General features: G+C 57.1%; 1 protein-coding gene across 6 annotated transcripts in view, besides 7 other annotated features; it reads right to left on the reverse strand.

The window, feature by feature from the left end:
* MAD1L1 (mitotic arrest deficient 1 like 1) overlaps positions 1–24,561 on the reverse strand; it is a 417,151-nt gene that overhangs the window by 102,153 nt on the left and 290,437 nt on the right. For 5 of the 6 annotated variants that reach the window (NM_001304524.2, NM_001304523.2, NM_001013837.2 and 2 more), the window contains one exon: positions 18,740–18,950. In NM_001304524.2, the coding sequence (NP_001291453.1) occupies positions 18,740–18,950 (211 nt within the window). Of the gene's footprint in view, positions 1–18,739; positions 18,951–22,140; positions 22,625–24,561 lie in introns of those variants that run through there. The other variant, NM_001304525.2, reaches the window with a different exon arrangement.
* Positions 12,765–13,713: an enhancer, noted in NCBI's record as "H3K4me1 hESC enhancer chr7:1970348-1971296 (GRCh37/hg19 assembly coordinates)". NCBI's record gives its function as "activates a minimal SCP1, AML or CMV promoter by ChIP-STARR-seq in primed H9 embryonic stem cells {active_cell/tissue: H9 hESC(primed)}" and the evidence as "EXISTENCE:reporter gene assay evidence [ECO:0000049][PMID:30033119]".
* Positions 13,967–14,136: an enhancer, noted in NCBI's record as "experimental_98173 CRE fragment used in MPRA reporter constructs". NCBI's record gives its function as "activates a minimal promoter by MPRAs in K562 erythroleukemia cells, with activity observed for both the introgressed and non-introgressed 7:1971635 variant alleles {active_cell/tissue: K562}" and the evidence as "EXISTENCE:reporter gene assay evidence [ECO:0000049][PMID:34662402]".
* Positions 21,972–22,021: an enhancer, noted in NCBI's record as "active region_25500". NCBI's record gives its function as "activates an Ori minimal core promoter by ATAC-STARR-seq in GM12878 lymphoblastoid cells {active_cell/tissue: GM12878}" and the evidence as "EXISTENCE:reporter gene assay evidence [ECO:0000049][PMID:35858748]".
* Positions 22,018–22,603: an enhancer, noted in NCBI's record as "H3K4me1 hESC enhancer chr7:1979601-1980186 (GRCh37/hg19 assembly coordinates)". NCBI's record gives its function as "activates a minimal SCP1, AML or CMV promoter by ChIP-STARR-seq in naive H9 embryonic stem cells {active_cell/tissue: H9 hESC(naive)}" and the evidence as "EXISTENCE:reporter gene assay evidence [ECO:0000049][PMID:30033119]".
* Positions 22,442–22,531: an enhancer, noted in NCBI's record as "active region_25501". NCBI's record gives its function as "activates an Ori minimal core promoter by ATAC-STARR-seq in GM12878 lymphoblastoid cells {active_cell/tissue: GM12878}" and the evidence as "EXISTENCE:reporter gene assay evidence [ECO:0000049][PMID:35858748]".
* Positions 22,652–22,701: an enhancer, noted in NCBI's record as "active region_25502". NCBI's record gives its function as "activates an Ori minimal core promoter by ATAC-STARR-seq in GM12878 lymphoblastoid cells {active_cell/tissue: GM12878}" and the evidence as "EXISTENCE:reporter gene assay evidence [ECO:0000049][PMID:35858748]".
* Positions 22,722–22,821: an enhancer, noted in NCBI's record as "active region_25503". NCBI's record gives its function as "activates an Ori minimal core promoter by ATAC-STARR-seq in GM12878 lymphoblastoid cells {active_cell/tissue: GM12878}" and the evidence as "EXISTENCE:reporter gene assay evidence [ECO:0000049][PMID:35858748]".

Genomic DNA, 24,561 nt, shown 5'->3' on the forward strand with positions numbered 1-24,561 from the left:
CACCCTGTGGTTCAGCCCAGAGCCCAGCAGACTAGATGTGGGGCTGGGGAGGGGCCCAGGCAGCGCTGTATCCCTACAACCTGAATCGTGGGCCCACATATCACACCCCACCTCGCAGACCAGCACCTCTGCCCAGTCCACGGCCAGCGCCCGGCTCAGCCTGCCCCGGACCGTGCTCCACTCTGCAGCCAGGCCACCTTCCAAATTGACAGAATGCCTCCGAGGCTCTGTGTGACCCTCAGGATGGAGCCCAGAAGCCCCACGATGGCCCAGTGGGGACCGCCCCAGCCTGGTCTCTGGCCCTGCTGCAGTGAGGCCCACCTGTGTCCCAGCCCTGGGACCTCAGCCCCAGCGCAGTCCCCTCCCCACACCTCTGCTGACTTCTCACTGGTGCTGCAGAACCTGGTTCTGGGAGCGTCTGTCTGGATCCTCCCTCGGCTCCGTCTTGGGGCCCCCGAGCATGTTCCCAACACACAACCGCAGTCACGCCACTGGGGACGGTGCTTCAGCCCTCCGCACTGCCCAGGAGCTCCGAGGCCCAGGCCGGGTCCACGGCATGGGGGGCGCCCAGTCCAGGGAGGATCTGTTTGCAGGCAGCCAGGCGGGTGTGCCCAGCACAGAGGGTGGTACCCTTCCTCTACCCCGCTCACCTGCAAACCCTGTGATTAAATCCCATGATTCCTTTACAACTCTAATTACACACCTAATTAATGGTGCTGGCCTTTATTACCCAACACCAACACCAAAGAACAGCATGGAGAGAAGGGCCTAGGGTGTTTAACTGGAGTGCCAGCCAGCCTTCAGCAAAGCCACTGTGCTCTGAGGCCACTGCCCCACCTGGACTGCACTTGGGCCCACCTGAGGAGACCACAGCTCCCGGCCCCAGGGCGACTGGTGCTGTGGCTACTCCTGGCCCCAGCCCCCCTCCCCTCCCCTCCCCTCTCTACAGGGCGCCTCAATGAGTGCACAGGGTGAGAGCACGTGGCAGGGCAGGGGCACTGATCCTTCCAACACCCGTCCTGTCTCTGGGTCACCCCAGGCTCTGGCGGCTCTTGCCAGCAGGGCAGTTCCCTCCGGCCCATGCCGCCGTGATCCGGCCCCTCCCCAGCAAGGACAGGGACCTCCTCCTATCGTTCAGTCCCAGGAGTCTGCAGAGATCGTCCGCCTGTCACGCTCACCCTTGGTGCGGGGACAGACGCTCACAACTGCCCCAGGACCTGGGCCGGTGGTCCCGTTTCTCAAATGGGGAAGCTGAGATGCAGAGAGAAAAGGGTCCACCCAGACCCCCAACTGTTACGACGTGGAGCAGGACCTCCATCCAAGCCTTCTGACCTCAGGCTCCCAGGCCGTCCAACACGGCTGCCCCGGCCTCAGATGGACACACGGTGTGTTGGAGCCAGGGACACCTGCAGCCTGCAAGGTCTCCTCTGCCTTCTCTCCCTGACCTGGTGCAGGAGGTCCAGGTGGCTGGCACTGAAGGCAGAACTGTAAAGCCAAGCCTGCCGTCCTCGCTGGGGACCTACCACACAAAGGGAGGACCGCACTGGGGAATGGGCTCATTGGGAGCCACTTTTGTTTCTCTACCCACCAGCCTGGCTCAGCTTCTACCAAATGGGCTCCTGCACGGGCCCAGAGGCCAATGGGCTCAGGCCACAGCCGCCATCGTCGCCATCACCATCATGCTGAGCACACATCATGGGCCAGCGGTGCCTCTGCTATAAACACACCCTCCACAATGACCGTGATTGGAGTGAGCCACATGTCAGAGCTGAGAGAGCTGAACCCAAGGTCACATGGCTGCTGGTGCAGAGCTGGGACCATGGCCCAAGTCCAAAACAGCTGACAGTGTGTGGCAACCCCTCCTCCATCAGCTCAGGAGCAACTTTGCTTTGGAACTGAAATTTAACTTTGATCAACAAAAAGAAACTGCAGATGACTCTGGGGAGGGAGCTGAAGTTGCAAAGTGCCCAGGGGTGGCAGGGCGGAGTCAGCCTTACCCACACCCCTCCTCCAGTCCACCCAACGCTTATAGAGGGCCAGTGCCAACAGCTCCAGTGACACGGAGGTCCCCAGTGACACGGAGGTCCCCAGGAGGGCGCACAGCAGGGCTGCAGCAGCGTTAGGAGACAGCAACCCCCAGAGTCAGAAGCCGGGGCTGTGTGGGCCCAGCATCCCTGTCCTTCCCCAGTACATGAGTGCTCCTGGGTCCCCGGCTTGCCCCCAACCCTGCAGCTCTCGGGACTTGCCTGTCATTGCGTGAGCCAACTCCCTGTAACAAGCATCTCCGTGTGCGTGCGTGCGTGCGTGTGCATGTGCGTGTGTACACACATTCTACGAGTTCTGTGTTTCGGCAGAACCCTGCCCAGTAAGCTCGCCCGGGGCTGTGTTGTCTGCAGATGGAGCAGCGACAGTGTGTGGGAGGAGCAGGGGCAGAGAAAGTCGGGGAGACTCGGCTGCCGTGGCAGCCTCACACTGTGTTGTGGACCCAGCGATTCCTCAGAGGCACCAAGGGAAGTGGTTAAAACAGGAAGACCCGCTGCACGCTCTCACCCACGGGAGCGGGGGGAACCCATCGCATGGAGTTGGGGGAGAAGGAGGGTGCAGGTGTGGGGTGGGCGGGGATGAACGGAGGCTGGTCAGTGGGTACAGACGCACAGCCAGATGGAAGGAGTAAGACCTCACGTTCCACAGCCGAGTGGGGGCGGACTACAGTCAGCCACATGTGCTGTCTACTTTAAAACAGTGAGAAGAGAGGACAGGAGGTCTTCCCAACACTTAGAAATGACCAGTCCATGAGGTGACGGATACCCCAAATACCCCTGTGTGGCCACTGCCCATTCTGGGCATGCAAGACAACATCACCTACACCCCATAACGATGCACGAACACTGTGTATCCATTTAAAAACCGACAGCAAAAAACCCTAATCTTCATTGACTGAATAAAAAAGATTCACGGGACATCCGGTCCAGACAGAAAAGGGTGCAGATTCATGTTCCCTGCTCCTCCTGCAAAGCTCGGCTCTGAGCCCTGGAGACGACGAGACAGGCAACCCAAAGAGAGGGTGGGGAGGTGGGAAGAGGGCGGAGAGGCGGCCTGGAGCCAGCAGTGGGGACTCAGGACCCCTGCCCAGCAGATGGCAGCCCAGATGACACACTCCTGCCTGGACCGGAGCCTGCAAAGGGAACCCCGGCACGCTGCGGGTCTGAGACGTGGTATCGGTGAGGGAGGCGGCCCTGAGGCGCCCTTCCCTGCTCAGACACAGACGCTGGAAAGCCAAAGATTCTTCCACTAGATTAACCTATAACTTCAGTGTAATTTCAGTAAAAAATAAAACCTTGATACCTTTTTTTTGAATTTGACTAATTCTTTTTTTTTTTTTCTTTTTGGAGACAGGGTCTATCTCTGTTGCCCAGGCTGGAGTGCAATGGTGTGATTTTGGCTTACTGCAACCTCCATCCCCCAGGTTCAGGCGATTCTCCCACCTCAGCATCTATAGTACCTGTAGCTGGGACTACAGACACCCTCCCGCCACGCCTGGCGTTTTGTGTTTTTAGTAGAGACAGGGTTTCACCTTGTTGGCCAGGCTGGTCTTGAACTCCCGACCTCAGGTGATCCACCCGCCTCAGCCTCAGTGCTGGGATTACAGGCATGAGCCACCGCGCCTGGCCGTGACAAAGTAATTCTAAAATTAACTTAGAATAATAAACAGGTAAGAAAACCTTTAAGTCAAAAAAAAGGATAAATGAAATTAAAAAAAACAAAAGATCTGAATACAGACCCGATTTTGCCTAAGTTTTAATAAAGATGAAGGTATAAATCTACGGGGAAGGAAGGATTCTGAGATAAATGGCCCTAGGGCAATTGTTTAGTGATCTGGAAAAAAAATCAATTTAGATCTCGACCTCATACCATACACCAAAATAAGTTTCAAGTAGATTAAATCTTTAAATATAAAAATAAGCTCAAAGAGCCCAGAAGAAAATAGAATTATTTATCAAATCACTAAAGTACTTACTAAGCTTAAAAGCAACGGAATTAACAGATAAGAGAGAACCTGAAGACGAGGGGTTCAGGTTCTGGGAAAGATGAAGAAACCAATCAGCCCTGTCTCTCCCTGAGGCAGCTCTGACGATGGAGGGAGTGCAGCCAGCAGCCGACTACAGACCTGGAGAGCCACAGGCTGCAGGCGGGCTGAGGTCGGAACCCAGAACCACTAGCATCACCAGCCCAGCGGCGAGCGCCCTGCTTCCAGCTGCGAGAGACATGCAGCTGGACCTGGCCGCGCCGCGTCTTTACTGCGCTGCACCCCACGAGCCACGAAGGCAGAGTCTCCATTCACACAGACCTCCCACGCCTCGCCTCAGCAGCTTGCCGTTGTCGGCGTGCTGTGGTGTTAGTGATGCCTGCAGATTTCATCTTCAGAAGAGTGAACAGAAACGGCATGTTTTTAATTTCGGTTTCCACATGTGCACTGCTATTGTGTAATATTTACAGAACTACACAGACACACGGACATATTTCTCATAAAGTGAGCTCAGCAAGGTTGCAGGATACAAGAGCCACACACAGAAATCCCGGGTGAACTCGCTCGACTCGTTTTTATCTTGTGATTTTCGACATAATCACGCCACCTGTGAAGAGGAAAAGGGTCGGTCCTGCCTTTCCAGTCCGTGTGCCTTCGACCTCCTCACCCTGCTGCCCATCTGGGGCTCTGGGACATGGACCAAGGCGGTGAGAGGGAAGGCCTCTGCCTGAGTCGGCGTTTCCCAGTCCCTCACCAGCCAGGTCTGCGGTGAGCTGCACGGTTTCTGCAGATGCTCTTTGGCAAACTTGGGGGTTCTCGGCTTCTCCTGGTTTGCCGAGTTTCCCCATGAACGTGTGTTGGGCCTCGCTGACTGCATTTGTGCATCCGTTGGTTTGGCCATGTAATTTTTCCTTTTGGCGAGCTGACGCGATGGATTGTACCAGCTGACGCTCGACACCAACCCAGCCTTGCACTCTCAGAAAACAGAAAATAGCCCCGCAGTGTTCTTCAGTTTTGCCACTGGTTTTGAAGTTGGGGTAAATGCTTGCTTCACAGAGTGAGTTGGGAAGTGCTCCCTCTTCTGTTTTCTTGGAGAGTTTTGGCAAATTGGTGCTAAGTTTTCTTTAAGTGTTTGGTAGAATTCACCAGAAAACCATCTGGGCCTGGAGATATCCTTTTTTGGAAGCTTTTTGATTGTGGATTCAGTTATTTAATGGTTCTAGGATTAATGAGACGATCTATTTCATACTGGGTGAGTTCTGCAGTCTGTGGTTGAAGCTTGCTGGAGTTTCTGTCACTGGTTGGGTGTTTGCCCTGGTGCTACCCAGTCTGGACTTGGGGACCCCTAAAACCTGGGAGTGAGCACAAGACGCACACAGCTTGTCAAGAGAAGCCTGAGAGGCAGTGTGGGAAATTCTGTCTGTCTCCATCCTCTTCTACCCTGACACCCAGGCAATCCTGCGCTCTTCCGCCCCGGCACCCTGGCACCCCCGCGCTCTTCCGCCCCGGCAGCCGGGCAACCCCGCGCTCTTCCGCCCCGGCACCCGGGCAATCCTGCGGAGGTACAGCCACAGCTGGACAGACGCCTAGAGCCCAAGAGTGGGCCCCTCCCTCCAGACAGGGTGCGTGGGGCATGTCCTGCCCTGTTCCAACGCTGTGGCTGGCGTTGGCCGTGAAGGCGGCTGTGGCCGTGGGACTGACTGCACAGCACAGTGGGCAAGCCTTGCCTGGCTCTGTGGCCAGAAGGCAGTGAAGGGAACCCTGGGTCACCTGGGAAGTGCTGGGTGCTCAGAGTGGCTCTGGAAGGTGCCCTCTAAGCTGGGCATGGGGCTCTGACCCTAATCAGCACCCCACAGGTGTGAGAGTTGGACTCTGAGCTAGACCACACCAGGACCCAGCCAGGACTGTGGAGGACACAAGGTTCAATGGCCTGGGAAACTCGGCAAAGAGCCTGAAATGGAAGTGCCATCAGGAAATGCTGAAACCAACAGAAATTTACATTCTCCAGAGAACTTAAGAAAGACCTAGAATCTCGGGATATTCAAAACATCCAGAATGCAATCTAAAATTAAGCAGCATGAAAAGAACCGGGAAAACAGAAACCTGCCAGGGAAAACACGACCAACAGGCGCCAAGATGACGGAGATGCTGGAATTATCGAGTGAGATTTTAAAGACGCTCCAAGAAGCAAGTGATTGGAAAACACAGACTTAACTTTTCACAGTATCTTAGAGATGATGCCGTGCCACTAAGCTTGGTGTAGAAAGCACATCACCACAGGAGTCCTTCTCGCGGCAGGGTGGCAGGCATTACACCCACACACGCTGGAACCCAGCAGACAATGTGGGCACATGAATTCCTTCCCGTCCTTTAACTTAAAACACCACCACACTTGGAGTGTCTGAAAGCCTCTCTCATCTGCACGGAGGGGAAAGGGGAGATTTCTTTGAGTGACTGCAGGTTGCTCATCAGAAACCACAGAAGCCAGAAGATGGGGAAACAGTGTCGATTTTTAAAGTGCTAGGAGACAAGAACCACTCTCCCAGAACCCCACATCCAGCAATGGTATCCTTCAGTAACGAGGTGGGGTGAGGACACTGCTGGGCAAGCAAACGCTGAGAGAACCTACTCTAAAGAAGCCCCGAAGGAAGTCCTGCCAAACCAGAAATGATCCCAGGGGAACCCAGGAACGCCAGGAAAGAAGGAAGAGGCAAAACCACAAACTACTTTTTGCCTCTTATGTTTTATAAAATAGGCATGACAGTTAAGAGCAAGAATTGTAATATTTCTTGGTGGGGTTTTCCACATATAGAGAGTAAGTACATAGGACTACTACAACATAAAGGGAGGCAGGGAGAAGCCTACGTCGTGGTGAAATCCTGACGTTTCCACCTGAAATGATAAAATATGAATTATAAGTGCACCGTGAAATGTTAAGCTTGCACATTGTAAACCACAGAAAAATCACTTTAAAAGTATACAAATAGATATAATAAAGACATAGATACATCAAAATGGAGTATAAAAAAGGCCAAATAACCTGAAATAGGTAGGAAAGAGAAAACGGGAATAAAAAATGGAGGACAAACAGAAAACTAATCATAAAATGTACCTAAATCCAAATGCATAAAAAATTACATTAACTATAAATGGCCAAAACACATCTATTAATCGGCAGAACACACATACCTATCAGGTGCACATGGGACATTTTGAGGTTATCAAATTATCAGCTACCAAATAAACTTTAAATTGCAAAGAAAGTGAATCGTAGAAAGTGCGTTCCCTCAACATAATGAAATTGAACAGAAATTACCCAGAAAATCAGGGAGAGACACTTTGAAATTAAAAAGCATCCTTCTAAATCTGTATGGATCACAGCAGGCATCCTAGTCTATTGGCGGCGCTATCACAGAATACCTGAGATTAATTTATAACGACCCGAAGTTTATAGGCTCACAGTTCTGGAGGCTGGCAAGTCCGAGATCAAGGCACCAGCTTCTGGCAAGGGCTTTCCTGAGGCGCCATCACATGGTGGACGGCAGGAGGGCAGATACAGAGAGCCAACTAACAGAAGCCCCTTTTACAACAGCACGAATCCACTCACCAAGGTGGAGCCCACGTGACCTCAACGCCTCCCAGGAGGCCCCACCTCCCAACACCATCACTCTGGGATGAAGTTTCCAACACGTGGACTTTGGAGGCCACGTTCAAACTATGGTACATCTTAATGGAAATTTGAAAATGTTTTGAACTGAACACACATAAAAATACAACATTATCAAAATGTGTGAAATGCTGCTAATGCAGCACTCAGATGCAAATTTCTAACACGGAACGCTTACGTTGGAAAGCAGAAAAGATCTCAAATATGCAATCTAATCTTCCACCTGAAGAGGCCAGAAAAAAAGGAGAGCAAACTAAAACTAAAGCAGGCAGAAGGAAGGAAACACAAAACTACAACAGCAAAATATCAATGAAACCAAAAACTAGGTCTCTAAGGAGATCAGTGAAATTTATACATCTCCAGAAAGGCTAACAGACAAAAAAAGAAAAAAGAAAAAAAAAGACATAAACGACCAGTATCAGGAAGGAAGGAGTACCGCTACGAACCCAGCAGGCACGATAAAATCAGCGAGGCAAGAGCACAGACAATTCACTGCTCATACATTTGATCACAGATATAATGAACCAGTTCCTCACAATAAAAAAAACCCCAAAACCTACATTCTACCAACATTCAGCTGAGATGAAAGAACTCACTATTCCTGTAATGATTAGAACCTGCCACAACCACAATCCCTAGGCCCAGATGGTTTCACCAGCAAATTCTACAAAACATTTAAAGAAGTAACACCAATTCTATATAATCTCCTCTAGGACATAAAAGGGGGAATACTTCCAATTCACTTCATTCATTACGTGTATACTACAACCAGACAAGGGCAGTACAAGAAAGCTACAGACCAATATGAACACAGACGTGAAGATTACTGACGATGTCAGCAAGATGAACTCAGCAACATGTAAAAATACTATGCCATAACCAAGGGGGGGGTTTATTCCAGGAATGCAGAGTTGGCTCAACGTTGGAAACTTCCCAAAAAAATCACAATGACACACTGTCAATCACACTAACGGTGTAAGGGAAAAAAAACATACGATCCCATCAATTGATGCAGGAAAAGCATCTGACAGACGCCAACATCCTACATGATAAACACTCTCAGCAAACTAAGAATGGAAAGAGCGTTTTCAGCTTGATAAGGAAAAACCACAAATAAACTGCAGCTAGCAGCACGCCTCATGGAGGAGGATGGACTGCTCTCCCTGCAAGGTGAGGAGAAAGGCCAGGATCTCTGTTGCCCCATCTCCTACTCAGCACCATACTAAGGTCCTAGACAGGGCAACACAGCAAGAAAACAAAATAGAAGACATATGGATCTTAACAAAATAAGCAAAACTGTCCCTATTCACAGGTGCTATGACTGCAAAGGATTAGAAAACAAAATCAAAACAGCAACTAACCCAGATGTAAGAAGTGAGTTCAGCAAGGTCATGGGTTACAAAGCCAGCATAAACATCCGTCATACATCTACACACACGCACTGAACACCTGGGACCCATAAAAACAAGCCTACAAATAATTACATAGCTCCAACACTAACAATAAAACCAACAAAACCATGTGTATTTCTAACAAAAAAGGGGTGGGTGGGTACGGTGAAAACCACAAAATGTGGATGAAAGAAAATAAGAAGAACGTAAATAAATGGAGAGCTACATTGTGTTCATGTATCGGAAGACTCACTGCAACCAAGATGTAGATGCTCCCCAGACTGACTGACAGATGCAGTAATTCCTCTAAAAATCTGAGCAGGCGTTTTGCAGGTAAAGACAAGCTGAATGTAAATCTTGTCCATAAAGTGGGGGATTGTGCTGCTGATTTCGAGACTTACTACGAAGCTACAGTAATCAATACCGTGGGGTGTTATTAACAGCAAAGGAACAGACGCTTAGATCAAGGGAACAGAAGAGAAGGTGTAGAAAGAGACCCCCATAACGCATGGCCAACTGGTTTTGGACAAAGGTGCAAACATAATTCAATGGTGGCAGGACAGTCAGTTCAATAATAATGGCACAATTGGACATCCATATAAAAACAAAAAAGAAAAGTAGCTTGAACTCAAGCTCACACCATGGGCAAAAACTAACTCAAAATGGGTCACAGATTTAAATGTGAACTTAAAACCTTTTAGTAGAAAACAAGAAAAAATATGTTTGGCCTGGAGTTATGCAGAGAGTTTCTGGATCTGACCCCTATAAAAGAAAACCTGATCATCAGCATGCACCCAGATGAAAAGCATTTGCTCCGAGGAACACAGGGTCAGAAAATGAAGAGGCTCGTCACGGGCTGGGAGAAGATATTTATCAGCTATATACTCAACTTGGATTCACCCCAAACTCAATACTAACAATTCAATTAAAAAATAGGCAGCACCAAGCAGCACGTGGGGGGCAGCTACTTCTCCAGACAGTGGAGAGCCACCAGCTCGTGCCCGAGGCCTTGGCTGACGTCACATCACTTCTGTCTCCAGCACTACAGTCGGAGCCCACGACGGAACACCTGCCACACCTGCTGCTGCTCCCCACGACCCGCCGGTCCCTAGAGGAGCCCATGACGGAACTCCCGCCACGCCTGAGACTGTTCCCCACCACCCGCCGGTCCCTAAAGGAGCCCACGACGGAACTCCTGCCACGCCAGACACTGCTCCCCACCACCCGCCAGTCCCTAGAGGAGCCCACGACAGAACTGCCACACCTGACACTGCTCCCGACGACCCGCCGGTCCCTAGAGGAGCCCACGACGGAACTCCTGCCACGCCAGACACTGCTCCCCACCACCCACCAGTCCCTAGAGGAGCCCACGACAGAATTGCCACACTTGACACTGCTCCCCACGACCCACCGGTCCCTAGAGGAGCCCACGACGGAACTCCTGCCACACCTGAGACTGTTCCCCATGACCTGCAGGTCCCTAGATGGCAGGACCCAGGCAGACGATCTCAGCTTGGCACAGGACTGGGCCAAACAGGCATGGTCCTGCACTTCAGACGCCAGCCCTTCTTCTCCAACTCCCACTAACTGCCGAACAGGGCTGGAGCCCCTGCACCCCCATCCCATTTGAACCGCTCAGCTGTCGGCATTGCACGGTGTTTGTACTGAGCAAACAGAGGCGTGGGCAGGTGGCGGCCCTGCCCAGGTGGCACGGGGTGGGGGCATGACGTAAACACAGGCCTGTGCCACGTGAGAGCTGGGCACTGATTTCTGGCCGTGGGAGGGCACAGCTGGCTTGGCACTGCCAGGCCAATGGGTAGCTCTCCACAGTGCTTGTCCTGGTGGTCCACGGAGCAGCCATTAGGGCACCTCACTGAGGCCACCTGTGGGGCCAGCGCCAGCCAAGCAGGAAAAGTGTGAGTCCTGAGACTGCAGAGGACACGCGCCGATACAGACAGAAGCAGTGCACAGGACGCAACAGAAAGGCAGTCACTGCTCCCGTCCTCAGCCCAGGCAGGGACACCAAACCAGGCCTCCCCTCGAGGGCACCCTCCTCCCTGAGGCCGAGCAGGTGGATTCCAGGCAGAGCAACTCTGTGGCCAACCATCTTCCCCTCCCTCCTCCCCTCCCGGGCCTCCCCTCTTTTCTTCCACCTCCTCCCTTCTCCTCCCTGGTATCTCTTCTCCCTCTTCCTCGCTCCTCCATCCTCCCCCTGCCTCCCTCCTCCCCAAAGACACCTCTAGGATCAGCTGTGCCCACACAGGCAGTGACAAATTTGATCACCTTCAATGTGCTGCTAAGATTATTTTAATATTAATGCATTCCCTAATTAAGCTGCAATTAACAATCTCCCTGGCCCAGCCTGGACGTGGCAGGGGGGCTGAGTGAGGAGTCAGAGCCAGCACGGGAGGCCGGGCTTTGGGGCTCCTATCCGCCAAGGGCCCGTGCCGATGGCAAGGGTTGTTTAGTGACTGCCTTGTCAAAGACACCAGGAAAATCACAAGGGTGTTCCTGCCTGAACTTCCGAGCAGGGACTCAGATCCCCGAGAGCAGGGGCCTCTTTATGTGTTTCTGTGTCTTCTCTGACCGGAGGTCTGGGGCCCACACCAGAGACAGCCCTTGGGGAAGCCGTGGCAAACACGAAAGGGAGCTCTTGACTCTGCAGCCCCGCTGCCACGTCCCCTCGCCCATCCCCCACTGCCACGTCCCCTCGCCCCGTCCCCACTGCCACGTCCCCTCGCCCCGTCCCCACTGCCACGTCCCCTCGCCCCGTCCCCACTGCCACGTCCCCTGCCCCGTCCCCACTGCCACGTCCCCTCATCCCGTCCCCACTGCCACAACCCCTCATCCCGTCCCCTACTGCCACATCCCACCACCACGTCCACACTGCCACGTCCCCTCGCCCCGTCCCCCACTGCCACGTCCCCTCGCCCCGTCCCCACTGCCACGTCCCCTCATCCCGTCCCCACTGCCACAACCCCTCATCCCGTCCCCTACTGCCACATCCCACCACCACGTCCACACTGCCACGTCCCCTCGCCCCGTCCCCACTGCCACGTCCCCTCGCCCTGCCCCCACTGCCACGTCCCCTCATCCCGTCCCCACTGCCACAACCCCTCATCCCGTCCCCTACTGCCACATCCCACCACCACGTCCACACTGCCACGTCCCCTCGCCCCGTCCCCACTGCCACGTCCCCTCGCCCCGTCCCCACTGCCACGTCCCCTCGCACAGTCCCCGATGCCACGTCACCTCGCCCCATCCCCCAATGCCATGTCCCCTCGCCCCGTCCCCAGTGCCAGGTCCCCTCGCCCCATCCCCCAGTGCCACGTCCCCTCGCCCCATCCCCCAGTGCCACGTCCCCTCGCCCCGTCCCCACTGCCACGTCCCCTCGCCCCGTCCCCACTGCCACGTCCCCTCGCCCCATCCCCCACTGCCACGTCCCCTCGCCCCATCCCCCACTGCCACGTCCCCTCGCCCCGTCCCCACTGCCACGTCCCCTCACCCCATCCCACCACCGTGTCCGCTCACCCCACCTCACCGCTGCGTCCCCTCGCCCACCCCACTGCCACGTGTCCCCTTGCTTCGTCCCACCGTCACATCCCCTTCACCTTGTTCCTTGGGGGCCCTGATTCCCCAGAGCAGGAAGAGACATCTGCTGACCCCCGAGATGCTGGGTGATCAGGGTGTGAGGGGACTCCCCTGGGACTTGCTTCCTGGTGGGACACTGGGCGCTGTCTCAGGCCACGCGGCTCCCCCTTAAGCCAGTGACAGGCCTGCCATCTGCAGACCTGCTGGCCTGAAGCCCTCACAACTTACCCTGGTCTCTCTCGTGACCCAGGAGACCCACCCCTAACCCATGCTCAGGGCCAGCCAGGCCGGGGAGGAGCATCCGTCTCTGTCTCAGGCTCACACCTGCCATCTCACCCTTTGCAGGGACTGTGCAGGCAGCCTACCCACGGTCACAGGAGCGAGGGCGCGTCGTGGGGTCCACGTCAAGGGTCTGCTGACACCACGGGAACACCCCCAACTCCTCACCCCACCCACGGTCACAGGAGCGAGGGCGCATCATGGGGTCCATGTCAAGGGTCTGCTGATGCTGTGGGAACACCCCCAACTCCTCACCCCACGCACGGTCACAGGAGCGAGGGCGCGTCGTGGGGTCCACGTCAAGGGTCTGCTGACACCACGGGAACACCCCCAACTCCTCACCCCACGCACGGTCACAGGAGCGAGGGCGCGTCGTGGGGTCCACGTCAAGGGTCTGCTGACACTGCGGGCACACCCTTGCTCCTCATCTGGAGAATGGGGAGGGGACAGCCCTCTCTGGCAGCAAGCGGCGTGACCTGGACTTTTCTCTTTTTAACTTTAGATTTACATGCACATGAGTTAAGAGCCCAGGAATTCTGTGGGGTGTGTCAGGGAACAGCGGTCTCCACACTTCTCATTTCCTTCCTTTCTCTCCAGAGTCCACCATGTTCACCTCTCAGCCGATCATGTCGGTATTAACTGCATTTCTCTGGAATACACATTCTGTGGCTCCTTCTGGACTTGAGCGCTCGGACGTCCTGCTGACTTCCCGAGAGACAGCGAGGCTTCAGCTCTCCCTCCCTCCCACCCTGCAACACGCGTCTCCCTCCTCCTGGTCCCCTTTCTTAATATGAGGCTCAGGGCTGTGTTCAGATCAGGCCTCAGCTCCCTTACGACTGTGTGAGGCTGCTCAGGGCCAGCTCAGAATGCAGGACACTGCTGCTTCTGCTGCTTCTCATGCAACTCTGCTGTCCCCAGAGCCAATGGTCGTCCTGCTTCCCACGCACTCAGCCTTCTAGGTGCTCATGGCTCTTGGCAGCCATCCCTCTTTGCCAGCTGTCTACACAGGTGCTTCCCAGTCTTTTTGTGCGGGGCAGCAAACCTAAAACCTGAGAAATGTGTGTGGCACGCAGGGAAGGAGGAGGCTGCCAAAGAGTGACCCAGGGACCTGGGGACCAACGTCCATGGCAGCCCACGCCTGGCACACACGTGTGGAAAGCTCCGGTCCGCATCATGACACCCAACGCACCAGGTTCTGTCCTAGAATCTCTGGTGGGTTCCAGCCCCCGCTGGAGGCTGCCCAGGCTGGGGGCTTCCTTCTCTGCTCTATATCCCAGAAACTCTGGCCCGTTCTGGCCCCTGCCAGCTGCTCCCCAGGCCTAAGGCTTCCTTCTCTGCTCTATATCCCAGAACCTCTGGCCTGTTCTGGCCCCTGCCGGCTGCTCCCCAGGCCTGAGGCCTCCTTCTCTGCTTCCGCGGCAGAAGCCCCTGTGGTCTGCTCTGCGTGCCACAGCCACACTCTTTCCTGGTTTACTCCCTCATCCTTTGGGAGTGCATCCTCTGCCAGCTTCCTGAGAGACGGTGCGGGGCCGTCAAGTTTTTAAGGCCTTGAACCCTGCAGATGCCCGTACTTCTTCCTTCAGACCTGATGTGGGGCTGGGGGGCTATGAGATCCCGAGATGCAGGTCACTCTGCTAGAAACTCGGAGGTGCTGCTGCTAGGAAACGCTAGATGACTGATCCCGGATCCTTTGACAAGTGACCTCTGTGTTTCTTCTCTGAAGTTCTCAGGGTCTTCCTTTCGTCCTGTGTCCTGAATCTTCATGCTGCCGCACACTGTGCGGGTCTATCCCCAACCACAGACAGCCCAGTCTGAGCCTCTCCCGGGAGGCAGGGAGCTGCGTCCTTCCTTCAGGGAGACGTCCTTGAGGCACTTCTGTTATCATCTGCTTTTTCCCTGTTCCCTCCTTCCATGTTCCTGTTGTTCAGACAGTGGGCTGTACCTCTAATGTTCTTACTTCTCTTCTCCTGTTTTCCATCTCGTTGTCTTTACTTTCAGACTTTCTCAACGTTACTTTACAAATCTTCTTAGATTTCCATTCACTGTTCCCTACTTTTGCCTTCCCCCTGCTCACTGCTTTCTCTTGGTGTGTGTTAAGCTGCCCTGTTGTTTGGTTGCTGAAGCCCCGTCTTCTCTCTGAGGAGATCCAGGAGACAGTTTTTGGAGATTTTCTTTGCTGGGACAGTGGGTTCCCTCCCCGCTGACGCTGTGTTTCTCTGCGTTTCGCTGTGCTCTGTTTTCCCTGCTCGTTTCCTGTCCTTTCCCTTGGGCTGTCTGACAATCCCTGGGTATCAGCTCCTCACTAGGGGAGGGCACTAGGGGCCCAGGGATACTCCGGGTAGGAGCATGGAGCCGTCTGCCACGGTTTTCCCCAGGGAGCGATCCATGGGAGCTGTCGAGCTGGGGAACTGCCAACGCCAGGTCCTTCTGGGCTGCTCGGATACACAGGGAGGTCTTTCCACCATAGCCTACAGGGTCACACCTGCTGCCCGTGTTCTGCAGGGCACGTGGCGGGGGTGTGCGATCCAGGCCCACACCTGCATCTATCAATCCGGGCTCAGTTCAAGCCTGTTGTCCTGACTTGGGTCTGTCCAGGGACCTTGCCAGCCCTCTCCAGAGCAGCGGTCCACAAACGCGCTGAGCATCCGCGTGGTCTGTAGGGCTGCCTAGCACAGACTGCCGGCCGCCCCCAGGCCTCTGGCTGAGCAAGTCTGAGATGAGACCTGAGAATCCACATTTCTAAGAGGCTCCCAGGGAGGCAGCGGCCGACCTGGGTACTGCACTTTAAGTATCACTGCTCCAAGAATAAACTGCTGGCTTGTTTTGGAGTCTTCATCTTTCCCGGGGAGCGGCAACTGCCCAGGGCACACAGATGGACAGATGGTTCCGGGGACCCATCTCTTAATTCAGCAATCAAGCCTCCAGATCCACTGTGCTTCAGTCAGTGGCATCCCTCCCCTAACGCCACTTGCAGCCAGTTCCTGGGCTGCGTTGGAGTTTTGAGGTGTAACTCAGGCGGGTTCTCAGCTCCACCCGCCGCCGGCTTAGATTCCGGTTTCCCAAGTCTACTCAGTCCTTTCACTGCTCACCCGCCAATTCCAGACTCCAAAAGTCTGCCTCTGTATCCTCTCCCTCTGTGGGGTTAGGCCTTACATAAAACAGAGGCCACCAACACTGTGATTTTTGGGGGCACAGACACGCGCTGCATCAGCCACTGGGGCCTGGACGCCCGACCCACCCTCACCTCCTGGTGGCGCCATGTGGCGCGGCCCCCACTATCCCAGGCCTCTGCTCATCCTCCCCTTCCTGCTTCCAGACCACGCTGGCCCTGACTTCTCCATGGTCAGCTCAGACACGCCTCTTCGCACCCCCCACTCCCAATCAGCCATGGCCCGGGCACCTGTCACAGCCAGATGCCGACCACCCGCGTGCCTGAGACGCGCAGAGACCCAGACAAGAGGTTAACGAACAGACGGGCGAACCCGAGACAGGCAGAGACCCAGACAACAAGGGAAGGAACAGACGGGAGAACCCAAGATGCGCAGAGACCCAGATAACAGGTGAACAAACACACGAGCGAACCCTAGACAGGCAGAGACCCAGACAACAAGGAAAGGAACAGACAGGTGAACCCGAGATGCGCAGAGACCCAGACAACAGGGGAACAAACACACGAGCGAACCCGAGACAGGCAGAGACCCAGACAACAGGGGAACGAACAGACGGGCGAACCCGAGACAGGCAGACACCCAGACAACAGGGGAACGAACAGATGGGCGAACCCGAGACAGGCAGAGACCCAGACAAAAAGGGAAGGAACAGACGGGCGAACCCGAGATGCGCAGAGACCCAGACAACAGGTGAACGAACACACGAGCGAACCCGAGACAGGCAGACACCCAGACAACAGGGGAACAAACAGATGGGCAAACCCGAGACAGGCAGAGACCCAGACAACAGGTGAACGAACAGACGGGCGAACCCGAGACGGGCAGAGACCCAGACAACAGGGGGACAAACAGACGGGTGAACCCGAGACGGGCAGAGACCCAGACAACAAGGGAACGAACAGATGGGCAAACCCGAGACGGGCAGAGACCCAGACAACAAGGGAACGAACAGACGGGCAAACCCGAGACGGGCAGAGACCCAGACAACAGGGGAACAAACAGACAAGCGAATGGGTGCACAGCCAAGGCACAGGCCCGTGACAGCAGGGGATGGAAGGCCCCTTCCCAAATCCTCTCCCAGGGTGCAGAGCCACCTAAAAATATGGCTCCAAGTCTGCATCCTCAGCTCCGAAACTTGCCAATAACACCTGCAGAATGCAGGGCGGAGAGGGAGCCACGGCTGGACCAGAAAGGGGGCTGGGGACATGGGGGCTCAGGCCCTCACAGCCACAGTGGAGACCGGGAGCAGCCCTTGTGCAGGTGGGGAGCTGGAAAGGAGCCCCCGACTGCCATCAGCTCGCCCCTCAATCTGGCAACACAGGCCCCCCCTTCTGGCTTTTGTCCTCCAACCCCACCATACTACTCCAGGAGGGCACACCACCCGCTAGCCAGCCACTAAGCCCCTACCTGCCGGCAGGGTGCGCCCAGACTCAGGGCAGTCTTGGCTTATGGGGGTGGGGCACAAGAGGGAGGGAAGACCCCACCTAAGACCCTCCCCACAAAGGAGCGGGGCAGAGGACAATCACTCCTGATACATCAGCCTGGGTGCTGGGCTGTGGGAAGCGGACAAGTCACCGCCACACAACCTCTGCACCTGCATGCTCACAGGGAATGCTCTCCCACAGTACAGGGCGCGATGGCAAGTAGGTGGGAAGAAACAGAAGAAGGTATCATCGGATGAAAGCTGAGTCTGAAATCACCTCGAGATGCCAAAGGCCAGAAAGCAGCAGCCTCCAGGCCCCACCACAGATGAGCCTGCAGACACCCCCAAGGGAGGGGGCTGGCAGCCGGGTGGCTCTAACACAGGAGCAAGGGGACGCCGGGCCACGCTCCAGGCTGCTGCTAAGGGCTGGACAGGGAACCCTCCCCCAGGTCCCCCCAGAACCAGGAGCGTGGGGCAGTGCCCAGCTCCCTCCAACAGCAGAGAGCAACACAGGGGGCAGGGGTCTCCTGAGCCCCACAGCCTCGCTGGGGGTGCAGACTGCACAGTGACTCTGGACTCCCAGCCCTGCTCCTTCAGGGGCACCCTGCAGAGTCGACACAGCCCCGGCAGCACCCTCCGAGGCTTGGCGTGGGCAGACCCCAGCACCACCTCCCCACATCAGGGGATAGGCTGGCGTTCCAAAGGCCGTGGGCCTCATGTAGACCTGGAGGGTGTGGGCAGGCCCTGCTGGCCCTCATGGAGGCCTCATTCTTCCCTGGGACGCCACAGGCCTTGGCCTCAAAGGGCTCTCTGGACGCCATGAAGCACACTTAAGCTGGTGAGAGATGGACTTGTTTTCGTGGAGGACTGGATTTACTTGTGATTAATGGGGTACATATAAACTGACAAATGATACGAATTAGTTTAAGGGCCTGAAATTTCAGCCCCTTGCTTCTCCACAGCTGCCTGCAGACTCGGATGGCTCCACCTGTTTGCACAACCCCACGGGGCCATGGGGACACGGGGCCAGGGTGCTCTGCCCCAGCAACCACCAGACCCGGCTGCCCACAGGGGAGGACAAACCCTCTGGGGATGACAGGCAGGGGCGCCTGAGGCTGCCCCAAAGGCGCACGGATGGACCTACCCACGGAAGGTCGAGGATGGCAGGGACCGGGGGTGGGGGGTGCCTACCTGCCACCTCCTTGGACGATGGCAGACTCGCGGCGGCAGCCTCAAGGTCGGCTGGGACGGTGCCTCCTCTCTCCATGGCGCGCAGGAGCCCGCGCAGTCGCTCGCACTCCGCCTGCAGCTGGCTGTGGTCCTCGCGCAGGCGCTGCCTGGCCACACTGGTGGGGTTCAGGCTCATGTGCAGCACTTTGGTCCTGCTCTGGTCATAGTCACCCTGCAGGAACACACACAGCACAGGTCACCATGGCCCAGGCACACACGCAGCACGGGTCACACACAGCATGGGTCACCATGGCCCAGGAAGACACACAGCACGGGTCACACACAGCACAGTGCTCAGTTCTTTTGTCTTCTTGAGCCTGCCTGGCAGCCATCTCTCCTGGAAGGAGTGGCTCCTTCCCTGTGCCCTGTGGACAGGTGCAGGAACAAGGCCTGGCCACCTGCTGGGTCCCTTCTGCCTAACCACAGGAACAGGGTGAGAGGGGACATGCGGCCTTTGCTCAGCCAAGTGCGGTGCTTCCCAGAATTCCACACTCAGTGCCCGGGAGGGAGGCTTCCTCTCCTCTGAGGTTCCTGGCTGGGATGAGACTGGGAGCCCGTGTGGCCATGTTCCCATCTCTTCCCTACCAGCCTGGAAGGTGCCCCGTGCCACAAGAGAAACAAGGTCAACCACACAGAGATGGAAGGCAAGGGAGCCTGGCATCAGCGTGGGTGGCTCAGGAATGCGCCTCGCAACCTGATGTTCCCACGAAACCCAGGGCCGGGATGTGTGTGGCATCCTTGAGGGAGGAGTGCGCCTGGAGGCCCAGCCTGCTGACCTGTGGTGGGTGACCGACCCCCAGCAACAAGCACCATGCAGCCCTGCAGCAGGGACAGCCCCCCACAGCAGGGGACAGCCGCCCACAGCAGGGAACAGCCGCCCACAGCAGGGGACAGCCGCCCCCAGCAGGGAGGTGCAGGGTCACTGCGCACCCGAGACCCCGACCTCACGCCACACACAAACATCAGCCGCCCACAGCAGGGAGGTGCAGGGTCACTGCGCACCCGAGACCCCGACCTCACGCCACACACAAACATCAGCCGCCCACAGCAGGGAGGTGCAGGGTCACTGCGCACCCGAGACCCCGACCTCACGCCACACACAAACATCAGCCGCCCACAGCAGGGAGGTGCAGGGTCACTGCGCACCCGAGACCCCGACCTCACGCCACACACAAACATCAGCCGCCCACAGCAGGGAGGTGCAGGGTCACTGCGCACCCGAGACCCCGACCTCACGCCACACACAAACATCAGCCGCCCACAGCAGGGAGGTGCAGGGTCACTGCGCACCCGAGACCCCGACCTCACGCCACACACAAACATCAGCCGCCCACGGCAGGGAGGTGCAGGGTCACTGCGCACCCGAGACCCCGACCTCACGCCACACACAAACATCAGCCGCCCACGGCAGGGAGGTGCAGGGTCACTGCGCACCCGAGACCCCGACCTCACGCCACACACAAACATCAGCCGCCCACGGCAGGGAGCTGCAGGGTTACTGCGCACCCGAGACCCCGACCTCACGCCACACACAAACAACAGCCGCCCACGGCAGGGAGGTGCAGGGTCACTGCACACCTGAGACCCCGACCTCACATCACACACAAACATCAATTCCACCACATTCTGTCTCCTGGGAGTAGACACAGGTTACTCAAACAGGGTTCAGGAAGTGCTGGCCGTAAAAGAAAAAAAAAAGAGTACAACTGACCTTATAGAAATTAAGAACTTCATCCACTGAAACAGTGGAAAGGCACCCACAGAGCAGGAGGTGCTGTTTGAAAATCACATTTCTGAGAAAGGGTTCAGATCCAGAACATACGAAGAAGTCAGAAATAACCAAGGGCATGTCAGAAATAACCAAGGGCATGTCAGAAATAACCAAGGGCATGTCAGACAACCCACTCTAAAAATCTGCAAAACATGTGAGCAGACACTTCCCAAAAAGACACCCAAAAAGCTGATAAACATATGAAAAGGTGCACACACATGGGCCAGGGCTGGGGCCAGAGGCGCGCACGCACACACACACACACACACACACGCACGCACACAGAGACCAGGACTGGGACCAGAGGCGCACACACACACACGGGCCAGGGCCGGGGCCAGAGGCACACACACACACACACACACACACACACACGGACACAGTCCAGGGCCGGGGCCAGAGGCGCGCACACACACACACACACACACACACATACAGGCCAGGACCGGGACCAGAGGCGCACACACACGGGCCAGGGCCGGGACCAGAGGCGCACACACACGCACACACACACACACACACACACATGGGCCAGGGCTGGGGCCAGAGGCACACACACACACACACGGGCCAGAGCCGGGACCAGAGGCGCGCACACACACACGGGCCAGGGCCAGAGGCGCGCACACACACACGGGCCAGGGCCGGGACCAGAGGCGCACACACACATACGGGCCAGGGCCAGGACCAGAGGCGCTCACACACACACACACACACACGGGCCAGGGCCAGAGGCACACACACACGGGCCAGGGCCGGGACCAGAGGCGCGCGCACACATGGGCCAGGGCCGGGGCCAGCGGTGCACGCACACACATACACACACACATACACACACACACAGGCCAGGGCTGGAGCCAGCGGCGCACACACACGCACACACACGGGCCAGGGCTCCCGCCAAGTGCTGAGATTCTGCAGCTTGTGGCTGTGAGCTGTGGGGCAGTGAGACTGGATGGGCACCCGGTCCCTCAGGCACAGACATGACCATGGTCATGACATGGGTCATGTCAGGCACAGACATGACCATGGTCATGACATGGGTCATGTCAGGCACAGACATGACCCAGCAAGCCAGGCCAGCACCACGCATAGCAATGGCCTCCTCCCCTTTGGCAATGAGTTCCTGCCACCCTTGGGGCTTCTGCCCACGCACTCTCCTATCTCCCAGAGGGGAACAGGGAAACACATCCTGTGTTCAGATCACCCCACGCTCTCAGGAGAGGCCGGTGTGGACACACCCCACGGGGTGAAGAGACCGGGCGCAGTAAGCCTCCAGCCTCCCAAGAGCTCAGGCTGCTGTGGGCCACTGCTCTCCAAGTCCCCGAAGGACGGCGAGGCCTGGCTTGGGCTGTACCCTGGGGACCTCACTTGGGCTGGAGCTCATCAGCCATGGGCAATCGTGGTCCCAGAGCCCAGAATGTGCCTCCAACAGGGAGAGAGGAGAGGATGGGGAAGAAGGGAAGAGACCTCACCCCTCCTGGTGCCACCCCGGACTCTAAGACATCCCCCTGACGTCACGTCACACAAGCTAACTGCTGGCCCTGCCACCCCCCTCATGGAAGAGGCCAGTGGAGATGGACATGCTGACCTGGACCAGGGACCTCCGGCCCCATGGCACGATGGCAGAGGCCGCCGCAGAGGGAAGCGGGGTTTGCAGACACGGCTCGCTTGGCCGCTCCCTCTGTGCTTCTCCTGGGAAGGAGGAGGGGAGGGGAAATCCACCCACTCAGGCCCAGGGGAGAGGGAGGCGGCAGCCCTGCCGCTGGGCCGGGGCAGGAGAGGATCCGCGCAGCTCTTCACAGGTTTTCTGAGAACCTTGTAAACCTCAGAGGATGAAGAGACATCTTGTAACTCTGGCTGAATCACAGACTCTTGGGGTTGAAAGGATTGCTACTTCATCCAGTTTTCACAGCCGGGGTTAAGATAACCCAGTATGCAGAATCCAGCCACCCACACGCACTCAGGAGACCCCTCTGACGGGCGGCACTGGCTTTCCGGGGCCTCTGTGGGCTGGACAGCATCTCAACCTCTTCACCATCCTACGGAGCCTCGAGGAGCCAGGGAGGATGTGGGCAGAGGGTGGGGCCGCCTCCTGCGGAGAGCAGCCAGTCACGGGGCTGTGCAGTCACCCTGCCCCCGTCCTAACCACGTAGCGCTGCAACTGCACCCAGAAAGCCGCAGGGCACACAAGGCCAGCATGGGCCCCGCTGACGGAGCTGCGGGCACGGAAACACGAATCTGAATTTCAGATAACCCGCGTGTGTCCCAAAATATTCTTCTTTTGATTTTCTTCAACCCTTCAAAAATGTACAACGGTTCTTAGTTGAGGGGCTGCACAGAAGGCGGGGCTGTAGTCAGCTGACCCCTGGCAAGAACCAGGCCGCACAGCGTGTACTCAGCCCTCCTCTGACCCAGAGCAGTGAGACCCTCCTCCCCCAGGCCTCACCCTCCTCTTCCTCCCCCCGCAGGCCTCACCCTCCTCTTCCTCTCCCAGGCCTCAGCCTCCTCTTCCTCCCCAGGCTTCAACACCGCGGACCTCCTGAAGGGACCTCCAGGTGGGAGGAGGTAGTGACCATCCTAGAGGCTGCCCAGCAAGGCCTCGCCTGGCCCCAGCATCCTCCTACTTAGCAGATAGGGGGACTTGCAGGAGGGGTCGGGGGTCAGCGGTGGTGCGCCCAGCGCTGGCGTTGGACCCAGCAGTGCCTGAGGACGTCAAGTTCCCCGGGGTGGATGTCCTGGCAACGTTCAACGTTCCACGGGCAGGAACGAGAGCCAGAGGCACAGCCCCAGCCCCCAGCCCCCAGCCAGGGTGCCCCACGACCGGCCCATCATCCTGGGATGAGGTTTCCCCCCTGATGGGGGGCTTGAGGTCCAGGAAACAATTCTGTATATTAGAGGATTTAAGGACCAAAAGCCCAAGCCAGTAGAGATGAAGGAAACCAAATCAAAACAGAGAAAAGATAAAACTGAGAAGTTCTTCTTAAACACCAATCCTGTCACCCTCTGGCCCCCAACAGTGCAGCGCCCTGCACTGCTGGCCCCGCTGGGGGCGAAGGCTTGGTGTGTGCAAAGCCACCGTGTCCGGGCTGGGACCAGCCCCCAGGCTTGTCCTCCTCAGCCGCTACGCATGCACCACCAGGTCCTGCTCTCCCGGAGCCACAGTGTGAGGCCAAGGTCGGCGCAGGTTCCCGTGGCCCGGCTTCCACCTGCAGCAGGAGGCCCTGGGTCACGGAGAGCATTCACTGGGCACCTGCGGCTGGGGCTGGAGCGACCTGCGATGGCACCGCTGACCAGGGCTGAGAACAAGCCTGGGCTCCATAACTGGTGGCGTGGAGAACCCACCTCCCAGGAGGGCGAGGGAAGTGGGAGGACAGGCGCTAGGGCTCTGTGCAGATGGCAACATTCCAGGCACCTAGTCGTCTTTCTGTAAGTTCAGGGGACTTTCCCTGCCTAACGCCTGGAGAAGGCAGAGCCCCTAGAGGCAGCACGGGAGGGGCAGACTGGGCACCACCCACCCGCTCACGTCCCCACCGTGATTCTGGGCCAGGCTCTTGACCTCCACGCGTTCGTTCCTGCCATCCTTCCTTTCTTCCCTTAGTCCATCCACCCGCACACCTGTCTGTCCATCTGACATGATTTCCAGGCCCTGGATGCCCTCAGCACAGCTGTGAATACAGGGGTGGAGCTGCCACTCATGGTGGGAGCAGCTGGCATCCCACAGAGGAGCCTCCTGGGCCAACACTCAGCAAGTGGAGGGGACATTCCCGGCCCCTCCAGAAGGAGGCCACGCCTGAGCCCCTGGGGGCCCAGGACCTCTGCTCCAGGTGAGACAGGACCGTGCCCCAAGGTGGCTGGGGGCGACAGCCAAACTTCCAGCCTGCTGCTGTGACCACAGCCTGGGCAGCGCAGAGTCAGGCACACCATTCCATGCCTCGGAGCCCGCGCGCCACACATTTCAGCAGGTGCTGGAAGTGCAGGGGTAATGGGAGCCCTGTGCTGAGGCCCGTCT

Source organism: Homo sapiens, chromosome 7 (genome assembly GCF_000001405.40).
Source record: "Homo sapiens chromosome 7, GRCh38.p14 Primary Assembly".
Lineage (NCBI taxonomy): Eukaryota > Metazoa > Chordata > Mammalia > Primates > Hominidae > Homo > Homo sapiens.